General features: G+C 56.9%; 1 protein-coding gene across 44 annotated transcripts in view, besides 5 other annotated features; it reads left to right on the top strand.

Annotated features, from left to right (window-relative positions):
* Positions 1-900: 900 nt before the first annotated feature.
* The window catches only part of WNK2 (WNK lysine deficient protein kinase 2), a 136,431-nt gene continuing 125,117 nt past the window's right edge, over positions 901-12,214 (top strand). For all 44 annotated transcript variants that reach the window (NM_006648.4, XM_047423745.1, XM_047423751.1 and 41 more), the window contains exons 1-2: positions 901-1,147; positions 1,690-2,372. In NM_006648.4, coding sequence (NP_006639.3) covers positions 1,692-2,372 — 681 coding nt within the window. In that variant the 5' untranslated portion in view covers positions 901-1,147; positions 1,690-1,691. The remainder of the gene's footprint in view (positions 1,148-1,689; positions 2,373-12,214) is intronic.
* Positions 2,939-3,904: an enhancer, noted in NCBI's record as "H3K27ac-H3K4me1 hESC enhancer chr9:95948459-95949424 (GRCh37/hg19 assembly coordinates)". NCBI's record gives its function as "activates a minimal SCP1, AML or CMV promoter by ChIP-STARR-seq in primed H9 embryonic stem cells {active_cell/tissue: H9 hESC(primed)}" and the evidence as "EXISTENCE:reporter gene assay evidence [ECO:0000049][PMID:30033119]".
* Positions 6,006-6,939: an enhancer, noted in NCBI's record as "H3K4me1 hESC enhancer chr9:95951526-95952459 (GRCh37/hg19 assembly coordinates)". NCBI's record gives its function as "activates a minimal SCP1, AML or CMV promoter by ChIP-STARR-seq in primed H9 embryonic stem cells {active_cell/tissue: H9 hESC(primed)}" and the evidence as "EXISTENCE:reporter gene assay evidence [ECO:0000049][PMID:30033119]".
* Positions 6,164-6,333: an enhancer, noted in NCBI's record as "experimental_109868 CRE fragment used in MPRA reporter constructs". NCBI's record gives its function as "activates a minimal promoter by MPRAs in K562 erythroleukemia cells, with activity observed for the non-introgressed 9:95951769 or rs7041800 variant allele {active_cell/tissue: K562}" and the evidence as "EXISTENCE:reporter gene assay evidence [ECO:0000049][PMID:34662402]".
* Position 6,249: a transcriptional cis regulatory region, noted in NCBI's record as "Neanderthal adaptively introgressed variant 9:95951769 (GRCh37/hg19 assembly coordinates) or rs7041800 in the experimental_109868 CRE". NCBI's record gives its function as "modulates activity of the experimental_109868 enhancer by MPRAs in K562 erythroleukemia cells {active_cell/tissue: K562}" and the evidence as "EXISTENCE:reporter gene assay evidence [ECO:0000049][PMID:34662402]".
* Positions 9,776-9,994: a silencer, noted in NCBI's record as "fragment chr9:95955296-95955514 (GRCh37/hg19 assembly coordinates)". NCBI's record gives its function as "represses an EF-1alpha promoter that drives an FKBP-Casp9 reporter gene in an ReSE screen in HepG2 liver carcinoma cells {active_cell/tissue: HepG2}" and the evidence as "EXISTENCE:reporter gene assay evidence [ECO:0000049][PMID:32094911]".

The following is a 12,214-nucleotide window of genomic DNA, read 5'->3' on the forward strand; positions in this document are numbered from 1 at the left end:
AGCCCAGTGGGATGGGGACTGAGATGAGAATACTCTGGTATCTCCCTTGTGCCTCAGTTTCCTCACCTAGGATCATGGAGGCTGGGGTAAGGGTGAAGTGTTAGCTCAGGGCATTGCCTGGAGCAGGGCTCAGAACTTAGCAGTATGGTTACTGACACAGGTCACCTGCTGCATTAGGGCCAGAGACGCCCAAGAGAGGGCTTGTCCGTGGGGGTCTAGAGGAGGAAGGAGCTAGAGATCATGGAAGACTTCTCGGGAGAGGTGGCATCTGGCAGAGGTGGGAAGGAAGAACACTTTGGGTCAAGGGGCTTCTGGAAGCCTCTCCATATCCCATCCAAGGCATTCCAGCTCAGCTTCGGTCTTGAAAGTTCTGGGATTTAGAGCATATAACTTCTGCCTTTGGCGCCTCAGTTTGCTCTAGACTGTGAAATGGGCATAATGATCACCAGTGCCTCCCTGGGTGATGATGAGGTCCTCATGGTTCCTGGTGGTGAAGTGAGGGCAGGAAAGGACACGCTGAGCCCCACCAGGCTTAGCCCCAGGCTGGGCTCCCGAGGGCGGCGGTACCCCTGGTCCTTTTCTTCCTAGCCTGCCCATTCTGTCCTGGCACAGGGCCTTGAGGTCTAGCGCGCCGGGCTGCGGCGTGCTGAGGCGTTGAGCCTGCTGCCTCCTCTCAGGAAGAAACGGGGTCCTCCGCAGCTGACAGCCCTGCGGGGCGTTCCAAAGAACTTCAGAGGACAGGAGCGCTACCTCGAGCAAAGAACCGCGGGTGGGAGCCCAGGTAGCCGGCCCGCAGGTGGCCGCGCGCGCCTGCCAGTCAGCCAGCCCGTCCGCAGCCAGGTGGGCGTGCCAGGCCCAGCCCCCTGCGCCGGTCCGGGGCGGGGCGAACGGAGCCCCGCCCTCCCCGCGCGCCGGGTCGGAGCCGGTGCGGGAGCGGAGCCGCGCGAAGCCGGCAGGAGCACGCGGGAGCGCGGCCCCGCAGTGGCCCGGCCCGAGAGAGCAGCGCGCAGGAGCTGGAGCGGCGCCACGGCCCCCACCCCAGCGCGGACCTCGCCCGGAACTCGGACCCCGTCCTCGAAGCGTGATCTCTCCCGCCTCGCACGCCCTGGCCGCCGGGCCGCGGGCATGGACGGCGTCCGCTCGCCCTGTGAGTGCCGAGCCTCCCCTCAACGCCGCTCGCCGCCTTTGTGTGCGCGCCGCGGCGCTGCAGCCCCCTCCCCGCGCGCCCCTCCCGCGCCCCGGGCCCGCGTCCTTTGTGGAGCCGCCGCCGGGCCACTGCCTTCCTCCCACCCCCGGGCTTCCCTATCCCCTTTACAGCTGCCTCCGGGACAGCCTAGCAGAACCCTCCTGGGCCAGGGCTGGGCAGGGCGCGAGATCCCTCTGCCGGCCTCCGGGGCCCTCAGGGACACCCTAGCAGGTCCTCTCTCCCAGGGTTCCAGGGACACCACAGGCCCGTCCCTCTCCGCAGCCTGGGGCTGAGCAGGGCACGGACCCCTCCTCCCCAACCCAAGCCTCTGGTCCCGTCTGCAGCCCCCCTTTCCCAGGGCCCCCAGAGACGGCCCCCGCAGGCTCTCTCCGCGGCCGGGGCTGGGCAGGTTGCGGGCTTAGGGCGGCGTTGTCTCATCCGGCGGCCTGGGCAGGTGCGGCAGGGCCGGCGCTCACGCGGGCCTGTGTGTCCTTGGCCCACAGAGATGGACGGCGATGGCGGCCGCCGAGACGTCCCCGGCACGCTGATGGAGCCCGGGCGCGGCGCGGGGCCCGCGGGCATGGCGGAGCCTCGGGCGAAGGCGGCGCGGCCGGGGCCCCAGCGCTTTCTGCGGCGCAGCGTGGTAGAGTCGGACCAGGAGGAGCCGCCGGGCTTGGAGGCAGCCGAGGCGCCGGGCCCGCAGCCCCCGCAGCCCCTGCAGCGCCGGGTGCTTCTGCTCTGCAAGACGCGCCGCCTCATCGCGGAGCGCGCCCGCGGACGCCCCGCCGCCCCCGCGCCCGCAGCGCTGGTAGCGCAGCCGGGAGCCCCCGGAGCCCCCGCGGACGCCGGCCCCGAGCCCGTGGGCACGCAGGAGCCCGGCCCGGACCCCATCGCAGCCGCTGTCGAAACCGCGCCTGCCCCCGACGGCGGCCCCAGGGAGGAGGCGGCGGCGACCGTGAGGAAGGAGGATGAGGGGGCGGCCGAGGCGAAGCCTGAGCCCGGGCGCACTCGCCGGGACGAGCCCGAAGAGGAGGAGGACGACGAGGACGACCTCAAGGCCGTGGCCACCTCTCTGGACGGCCGCTTCCTCAAGTTCGACATCGAGCTGGGCCGCGGTTCCTTCAAGACGGTCTACAAGGGGCTGGACACGGAGACCTGGGTGGAGGTGGCCTGGTGTGAGCTGCAGGTGAGGGTGCCCCAGCCCGCAGGGGGCTTTCCGCAGGGTCTGTCCGCGAGTGCGTCCTTGGGCCTGTCCTTGCTCCTGCGCCTGGCCTTAAGAAGCCCTGGGGGCGGCGGGGCTCCATGTGTGTCACCCTCTGTGTGGATGGCTGGCAGGATGCATACCAGGTGTGCGGACGGCATGTGGGGCCTGGCTGTGTCCGTGCGCAGGTTGCGGTTTGTGAGTCAGCTGGTGGCGAGGGCAGGCCTCTGTTGTGCGTTTGGTGTAAGTGTGCACGCTGTGGGCGTAGAGAGGGTCCTGGAGAGTGGGCCTCGGAGGCTGTGTCTCTTAGGCTGCTGCTTCTCCAGTCCCGATGACCTACTTTAATGACCCAGGGAGTCTGGACTGTTGTGTCTTTGCAAAACAGTGTGGAGGCTTCAAGGCCCGGTGTGTGCAGTCAGAGTGTTTTGGGGGCTCTGGGCTGCCCATAAATTAGTACTTTCCTGTGTCCAGCAAGCCGTGGCTGCCCCAGCAGGGATACCTGCAGAGACTTCTTCTGACCCAGGGCCTGTGACCCAGAGGTGGTGCCTGGTAGAGCTCTGGGGACAGCTGGGCAAGGCCTGGAAGTGTGGTTAGTCGCCTCTGCTGCTCTGAGAGCTCCATTTGTTCACAAAATGGACGTGTGAGAGGTCTTAAAACCGAGTCATGCAGAATGCGTGTGGGGGTTTTTCTTGGCTGCAGAGGCTCTGGGCATGCATTTTTCATAATCCTGCCATCACCGTGGTGTCAGCCCCAGCCCTGCAAGATTATATAAACAGCCACCTTAGCTGTCCTGGGACAGCCTAGGAAGCAGAGGCCATGCCTGTCCAGGGGGTGTTTACAGGCCTCCCTCCTTGGAGGTGGGCAGCTGTCAGGCGTGAGCCAGTCTGGGAGAGTGCCGGCTGGAGGTGTAAGTGTACTCTGTTGGCCTGTAAAGTTAGCTGGCTGTCCAGTCCAGGCCTGAAACGGGGCTGGGGCTAGCTGGGGCAAGCTGTGTTCTGGGGCCGCTGGCCACACTGCGGGACTCTTGCATTTTTGACTCAGAAGTGGGATTCAATTGCTATATCCTCCGGCCCCGACAGGGTGGCCTGCGTGTGTGTGCAAGCCTGGATAATTCGGTGGGTGTCGACCTGTCGTCAGCCTTTCTCCCAAGACAAAGAGCTCCAGAGACCTGCCTCTCCACCACCCCTTGGTTCTGCCTTGGAGATGTGGCTTTTCAAGTTAGGGGTCAGTGGCATTGTGTGAGGTCCTTAGGAGGGACTGAACAGCTCCCCTCCCTCATGGTCCTGTAGGTTCTGATGGTACAGGAAAGGCAGTGGGTGGGGCAGGGGGCTGTGATCTGGGGGTCCTGGGGTGTGCTGGGCATTCCTGCTGCAAGGGAAAGCAGAGAGAAGAGAGGGCCTGAAAGGGGAGACGACTCTTGATTCTGGCGAGCGGTCTTCCTGCTCTTGCCCTTCTGACCGGAGCACCCTCAGGTGCTGCCTCTGCAGGGTGGTGGATGGAACAGGGGTGCTGCAGTAGGCTGGATTTGAGTTAGACCTCGGCAGCCAGAGCCTGCTGATCTGGCTGAGGCATCGCAGGCGCATGTGACTCTTGGAGCTTGTTAGTTCCCATTCCCTTTAAGGAAACGCAGGCGATTCTGTCTCTGGGTCTGTCCCCTGCAGGCATGGGGTGGAGCCTGGCCTCTGTCCAGGGGTCTCTTGCTCCTTGACTCTAGGTGGGAACAGCAACCGAGAGGTGCTTCTGGTCTATATGCTTTTTGTCTATATGTTGATGTTCCTTGCCAGGATGTTACTGGTGCCCCAAACTTGTGGTTTCCCTGCATCTCCCCCAAAAGAAGTACCTCCAACATTTGTCCCTAGTCGATGTGTGTCATTTGGGATCAGCTCTCTCTGTGCTGATCTGAGAGGGTTTTCCATGAGAGGGAGTCTGGACCTGCTTAGAATAGCCCCCTTTGCTGAGAACTTGGTGTGTGTTGGGGCTGTGCTGGAAGTCTCGTCATCACAAACTGTGAGGACTGAGGGGAACAACCCCCAAGGTCACCAGTGAGGAGATGGCAGGGCATTGTGGGATCAGGGGAGGAGGGCCCCTGCCTGTGTGTAGAGTGGTGTAGGCTGACTTTGTGCAGAGCTATTGGAAGGACTGATGGGACTGCCTGTGTGATGTCCTGGGTATGGGCCAGGGGCTGCTGGGCGTGTGGAACGGAAGAGGGTGGGGTGTAGGGCTGCAGGGAGATCAGGGGCTGTGGGAGGGGCGTTGGACTCTGCGAGGGGAGTGTGCTCCTGGGTGGGATGTGGGGTCAGGTCTCACTGAGCAGGGAAGGGTGACAGGTGGGTGCTCCTTCTCTAGGTGTGTTGGCTTTGTGTCGTGAGGGGCTCTCTTAGTCCACAGTGTGGAGATGCCATCCTGCACATGACCGCTAGCATTCTGGGCATGGGGAGGGTTCCTGGGAGTCACGCTTTACACTGTAGAGGGAGGGTCTAGGGGGATGTTGCCTTCAGCCAGGAGCCCTTCTTGGAATTGCTCTTGGCCTCTATCCCTTTCTTCCCCTACTCCCGCAGCACCTGCAGTCTGTCCAGGTGCCTGGGCTGTGTTCCCCTTTCTGCCCTCCACAGGCTGGGGGGCCTCCCTGGAGAACTGAGAGGCGCCAGTGGGGCTCACTTGTGTTTTTCAGGGTTCCCTGCCAGACGGGAGAAACGCCTTCATGTGGACCTAGTAAGCCTGGCTTAGAGGACATCTGATTTCCTTTGATAAATTAGTGTTGAAAGAACTCTGTAGAGAGGGTAATATTTATTTATCTCACATCGAAGGGCAGTGAGGTGTTTCACCTTCTGAATTCTCCAGATGTGCAAAGCTGGAACCTGCACTGTTTTTTGTGGGGGAAGCCATTTTAAAATACCTCCCTGTCATTCTTCTCTTGAATAAACTTTTATTCTTGGCAGCAGAACACATTATGGTAACAAGGAAGTAAAACACCAGAATCCCACCGCCTTCCTCCTTGCCCACATGTCCTGTGTTCCTGTGGTCATCTTTGGCCAGCCCTGGTTCCCCCACAGACCCCTGTACTGTCAGACAGGGTGCGGGGTAGCCTGGGGCTCCGTGTCGGCTCTGGGAGCGTCTGCCACCTGCCATAGCCGGCCCAGCTACCCTGGGGGTGCTGATCTGGGTCACTGGCCTGACCTTCTACAAGACCCTCCTCTAGGGGGTGGTGAGGCCACAATACAGCAACGGGGAGGTGCCTGGCGTGGTGCTGTGGCCACCCCTTGCTCTGCCACCTTCTGTTGGGTCAGCACAATCTTGTTCCCTTCTCCTTTTGGTGTTGAGCTTTTGTGACTTCCTTGCCCTTCTTGGCTACCCACGTTGCTGGACCAACACTGTTCCATGTGGCTCAGGGCTCCCACTCTCACTTGCTGCCACCTTTGAGCTGGCGACAGGTCCCCAGGTTGAGAAAACATAGCCAACTCAGACCCAGGGAGGCAGCCTGTTTGCCTTTCCCGGACCTTCCTGTTTCTGCTGTGTCTCCCTTGGGGACCTGGAGTAAGCTTGGTTTTCACCCCCTTTAACAACACTGACGCCTCCCTGTCAGCAACTCCCTACTTTAGGGGACACAGGATCTTAGGATCTCAGTGCCACTGCCTCTGAGCTGCTGTGGCAGGGCTGGAACCTGAGTTTCCCAAGATGGTGCTGGGGCCTGCACCCAGCATGGGGTCTTTCTACTTCATAGAGACGTACATTCCTTGATCCTCAGCTCAGAGCACTTGCTGGGCCCTGGGAGAGCGGTGGAGTCCTAAAGAGGACTAAGGGTGGGGGCGCTGCTTCTAGTTCCAGAAAGTTACAAAGTAGGTCTTGCTGCTGCTTGGTGCCACCCAGAGGGGGCAGGGCTCAAGGAACGATGTGTCCTGCCCCAGCCGGGTGTCTCAGTGTCCTGTCCATCTTCCTGGGTCTGGGAGTGGATGATGCCAGAGGAGACTCGCTGAGTATGGCCTGTGCCAAGTGGGTGGTCCCCCCACCATCCTCCAAGGACAGCCCAGCCACCCGACAGCCTCTCTCCCAGCCGCTGGCAGCCCCGCCAGTGCCAGTGCTGAGCTGGCCCGTCATCCCGTGCAGGTGGGATCCTTATCACCTTTCTAGGCAGGCGTTCTGCATGTCATGGGCCACGCAGCCTTAGGCCAGGGTTTGGGGGACTGGAGAGCCTGCGTGCTTTGCCCCGATGGCCTCTCGTTAGAGGCCCGGCTGCCAGCCTCACCTGCTTTTAGCCCTGACCCAGCTGAAATGGGGAGAAGAGGAGACGAGGGGACGAGCCAGTGCCGGGCACAGAGGAGGTGCATGGCACTCACTTACTGGGGCAAGACAATCAGAAGGCTTGACCCGATTTGGCTGGTGGTCACCCCTTTTAAAAATTCTCTGAAGTGCTTAATTTTATTGGGAGAGTTGTAATTTGAAATCAGTTGGATGCCAGCACTGAATTTGCTTTCCTGGGCGAGATGTTTTCTGCACCATGCTGACCATGGTTTTGGTTTAGCTGGCAAAAAAGGCTGGCGCTAGCTCCCTGAAAGGCCTGTGCAGACGGACTTTCCCTCCCTCCCACCGGGGCAGAAATGTGGGCGCCAAGCTCTCAGTGGTGCTTCTGCCCCCCGAGTGGTGGTGGCGAGGTGTGTGTCAGCAGCGATGACAGACAGCAGCCTGTGCAGGTCACCGTCATGGGGGACACATTGAGGCTGAGGCACCACAGCTTGTTTTCTACTAGAAGCAGGTGCTCCTGTGGCTCAGTGGTGCCGTGTGGGCGCCTGGCTGAGCTGAATCAGGACCAGGCCACCATGGGACTCGAGCGTACCTGTGCTGCTTTCTGAGCCCCAGAGGGAGGACCCCAGCACTGGCTCAGATGTGTGGAGGGCCAGCCCCCACATGCCATTTGCCATTGCAAATGATTTGATTTGCCATTGCCAAAGCTTGTGTTTTCTCATTCCTCGTCAGCATGTTAGGAGGTCTGCCAGGGCAGCTGGACATGCCCTCCCGCAGCACTGGAACCTTCCGTGGTGGCAGAAACATCCTGCCTCTGCATTTGTGTCCACAGGCCCTGCGGAGTGCCTGGGATGTGGCTGGGGCAGCTGAGGGTCAGTGTTCTTATTTTTCCTCACATTAAACGTGGACGCAAATGTCCACACGTGCCCTGGCTGCTTCACGGGTCACCCGCGTCTCCAGGCTTGATCTTGGGCCCTCCTCTAGGCGGCTGCTTTTCCAGAGGATATAACAGACCCAGGTGACCTAGAGGTGGCCACTGGGACACCAGACAGACCCAGATGGGGACAGTCTATAGACCATCTTACAGCAAGGGAGACAAAGGGGCCGGGACACATCAGGGCTGGAAGAGGCCAAGGAGGTGCAAGATGGGGCCTGCGCTGGAGACCCCCACGGAGGACTGGATTGGATTGGACTATGAGAACCTAGACTTGGTGGCAGTGCCACGACTGTGTCAGGCTCTGGGAAGCAAGTGGCCACCAAGTCCAAGACAAGCTCCAGGTCAGCGGGAAGATCTCGTGGGCCCTGAGAGTTGCATCCCCCCACCCTGTCCTGTCATTTCCGGGGACAGCTGGGGGCTTACTCTGAGGTTGCGTAAAGCTTTATTGATGGACAGCTAGCCAAAAGATAGCATCAAGAGAAGGGGAGGGAGCGGATGTTCCTGAAGGTTCCAGAGGCCTGTGCTTGGGTCTCAACAGTGCAGGCTTGTGTGTATGTTGACTCAGTGAGCATTTGTTGAACGTGTGTCCTGGTTCTAGACCTGGGGTACCATAGTGAGCAGGACAGGTCACCGCCCTGGGAGACAGAGCCTGTGAGACCTGGAAATGTATTGGGCAGGTTGGGGAGTTCTGAGCGAGGCTGGAGGAGGGGCGGGAGTGGAGTGAGGTTTTGACAGGATCTCTCTGGCCACCTTGGGGACAGTTGGGGATGAGGGTAGAGGCAGGGGACCAGCAGGGAGGTGACTGCCACTGTCTAGGTGAGAGATTACAGGGCTGGTACTGGGTGGGATAGAGGCGGGGAGGGGAGAAGCATCAGATTCTGGGTGCATTTGAAGGTGGAGAGCACAGGATTTACATCAGATCTGAAGGTAGAGAAGGTAGGAATCGTCCAGGCATGGTGACTCACGCCTGTAATCCCAGCACTTAGGTTGAGACGGGTGGATCATTTGAGGTCAAGAGTTTGAAACCAGCCTGGCCAACATGGTGAAACCTCGTCTCTACTAAAAATACAAAAAAATTAGCCAAGTATGGTGGCGGGCACCTGTAATCCCAGCTACTTGTAGGGCTGAGGCAGAAGAATCGCTTGAACCCAGGAGACAGGTTGCAGTGAGCTGAGATCGTGCCACTGCACTCCAACCTGGCGACAGAGCAAGACTCCGTCTCAAAAAAAAAAGGCCAGGCGTGGTGGCTCATGCCTGTAATCCCAGCACTTTGGGAGGCCGAGGTGGGCGGAACACGAGGTCAAGAGATTGAGGCCATCCTGGCCAACATGGTGAAACCCCGTCTGTACTAAAAATACAAAAATTAGCTGGGCGTGGTGGCAGGCACCTGTAGTCCCAGCTACTCGGGAGGCTGAGGCAAGAGAATCGCTTGAACCCAGGAGGCGGAGGTTGAGTGAGCCGAGATCGCACCACTGCACTCCAGCCCGGCGACAGAGCGAGACTCCGTCTCAAGAAAAAAAAAAAAGAGAGAGAGAGAAGGTAGGAATCATGGTGTGGCAGCAGCTTTGGGCCTGGCAGGATGTGGCTGCTGTCCTCTGAGGGGGAGGGGGAAATGTGGATTTAGGGGAAGGGCAGGCCTTGGCTTGGGACATGCTTAATCTGAGTGCTTTGTAGGTGGCCAAGGGTGGTCCTCGGGTGGAGTGGGATCTCCCAGGCTGATCCTGAGTTGGGAGCCTGGGTAGGCACCCCAGGAGTGCAGGGATGGGCCAGGACTGTGTCTCGGGGGGCCAAGAGGGAGGAGCTCATTACCCTGCCCAGAGGGGCTGCCCAGGACAGGAGGGTGCTCCAGGATGCCAGAACTGTTTCAAAACATGATTCATACAATGGGCAGCAGATTCCGAGTTTTAGGTGCTAAGACAAAATTGGGAACTGTGCTGCACCTTAAAGACAACTGTCCCTTCCCTTGGGAGTTACCCTTCTTCCCACCCCTGGGCCCTGCTGGCCACCATGAGTCCACGGTTTGGGTGGAGCTGGCCAGTGGTCCTGGGCTGGCTGGACTTGCCCCTCACCTTCCAGGACAGCTGGGAGCTGCAGCCCTTCTATGCCCATAGTCATCTTGTAGGTGTCTCTCAGGGCCTGTGGCTTGGGTCTGGCTTCAGGCTGCAGCTGGAAGACACCCAAGGTGATGGCATGGAGCTTTAGGTCACCTCGTTGATGGAGAAGAACTTGACCTGGCCCAGCAGGGGTTTGGGCCGTGTGTCTGGGTCTCCCTTGTGGTCCGTCCTGGCTGTGCAGCCGTGATGGGGCATCAGCATCTGCTTGCTGTGGTGGGAAGGGGGGTTTGGGAGCCTCAAAGCCAGGAAGGACGTCGCCCCAAAGGTCCCAGCCGCACTGCCCTGGTGCATACAAAATACCCCAGGGGTAGGAGGGCCCTGCCATGTTCCCAGTGCGTGGCCATGGGAGGGCACCTGTTTCTGCGAGCCTCGGTTTACCCTTTTGTGCAGTGTGGATGGTGTTAGCTGCCCTTCATGGCTGGGGGCTCTATTGAGAGAAATGTGTTTCACCTGAGCACACAGGGGCCTCAGGTCAACCTCTTTTCACCCGTCTTGCTCCCCCTGCAAAATAAACAGTTGTCTCCAGTAGAGATGTGGAGAGCAAGCCGAGCCAGCAGGTGGAGGCTGGTTCCCGAGGCTGCCTGTCTCCCCGCCCGGGAGCTGTGGGCACCTGTGCCGCTGTTGCCTTAGTGCTTGAGCTGCAGATAAGGAAAAGGGTGTGAACGGCAGCAGCTGGGATTTTTGAAAAGCAAGCTAGGATCTGCCTCTGACCATAGACAATTCAGGGCTGTGTTTTGGGGAATCCCAGCTGGGTGGAGAGGACTGAGTGGGGACGCTGGAGGTTGGCAACCTGAACACTGTCTGTAAGTTTTCCTGCTTCTGAGAGTTTTCACATCCAATTCTCTTCCCTGGAGCATTGAATTCTAAGCATTTCCCAGAATACTTGATTACGACTTCTTATTTAAATTGGCTCTCATTAAATTATATTAACATTTTTTAAAAAGAATGAAAGAAAAGTGGTCAAGGCAGTGCAGTATTGGTAAAAGAACAGATGAGTTGATCAATGGAATAGAATAGCAAGCCCGGAAATAGACCCTCATGAATAAAGTCAACTGATCTCTGACAAAGGAGCAAAGGCAATAAAATAGAGACAAGATCATCTTTTCAACAAATGGCGCTGGAACAACTGCACATCCACATGCAGATAAATGATTCCAGACGCAGACCTTACACCCCTCACAAAAAATAAAATTGGCCATATGCCTAAATGTAAAATCCAAAATTATAAACCTAGCTTTGGCAGTGACTTTAGATATAACACCAAAGGCACAGTGCTTGAAAGAAAATAATGATAAGCTGGACTTGATTAAAATTAAATGCTTCTGTTCTGTGAAAGACACTGTCAAGACAATGAGAAGACAGGCCACAGCTGGGGAGAAAATATTTGCAAATGACCCATCTGCTTAAGGACTGTTATCCAAAATTTACAGAGAATTCTTAAAACTCAACAATAAGAAAACAATCAGCTAAAAAAATAGGCCAAAGAGCTTAACAGATACCTCACCAAGGAAGACACACAGATGGCAAATAAGCATATGAAAAGATGTTGCCCATCGTAAGTCATCAGGGAATTGCAAATTAAAACAATGAGCTCCCACTGCACACCTACTAGAATGGTCAAAATCTAGAACACTAACACCAAATACTGGTGAGGATGTGGAGTGACAGGAACTCTTATTCATTACTGGTAGGATTGCAAAATGGTACAGCTATTTTGGAAGGTCTTTTGGTAGTTTCTTATAAAACTAAACACACTCTTACTATGCAATCCAGCAACTGCGTTCCTTGGTATTTACCCAAAGGAGTTAAAAACTTAGGTCCACACAAAAACCTGCACACGGATGTTTATAGCAGCTTTATTCATAATTGCCAGAACTTGGAAGCAACCCAGATGTCCTTCAGCAGGTGAATGGATAAACAAACTGTGGCACATGCAGACAATGCAATCTTATTTAGTGCTAAAAGAAATGAGCTATGAAGACATGAAAACACAGAGAGGAGCCAGAAATGAATATTTAAGTGAAATAAGCCAATCTGAGAAGGCTGCATATTGTATGATTCCAACTAGATGACATTCTGGAAAAGACGAGAAACCATGAAGACAGTTAAAAAAAAAAAAAAAGTTCAGTGGTTGCCAGGGATTAGAGGAAAGGAGGGATGAAGAGGCAGATTTGTGGGGCAGTGAAACTATTTTGTATGATACTTTACTGGTGAATACATGTCATTATACATTTGTCAAAACCCATAGCATGTACAGCACCCAGAGTGAACCCAAGTGTAAATGTTGGATTTTAGTTAATCATCAATATTGGTTCATCAGTTATAACAAGTGTACCACACTAATGCAAGATGTTAATAATAGGGGAACCTGTGTGTGGGTGTGAGGGAGTGTATGGGAACTCTACTTTTTGCTCAATTTTCCCATAAATCTAGAATGTCTCTAAAAATAGTTGATTAATTTTAAAAATGCAACAGCTACATTAAAGATGTTTGCAGAAATGGGCCAGGCGCGGTGGCTCACACCTATAATCCCAGCA

The sequence above is a fragment of the Homo sapiens genome, chromosome 9 (genome assembly GCF_000001405.40).
Source record: "Homo sapiens chromosome 9, GRCh38.p14 Primary Assembly".
NCBI classification, from domain to species: Eukaryota; Metazoa; Chordata; class Mammalia; order Primates; family Hominidae; genus Homo; species Homo sapiens.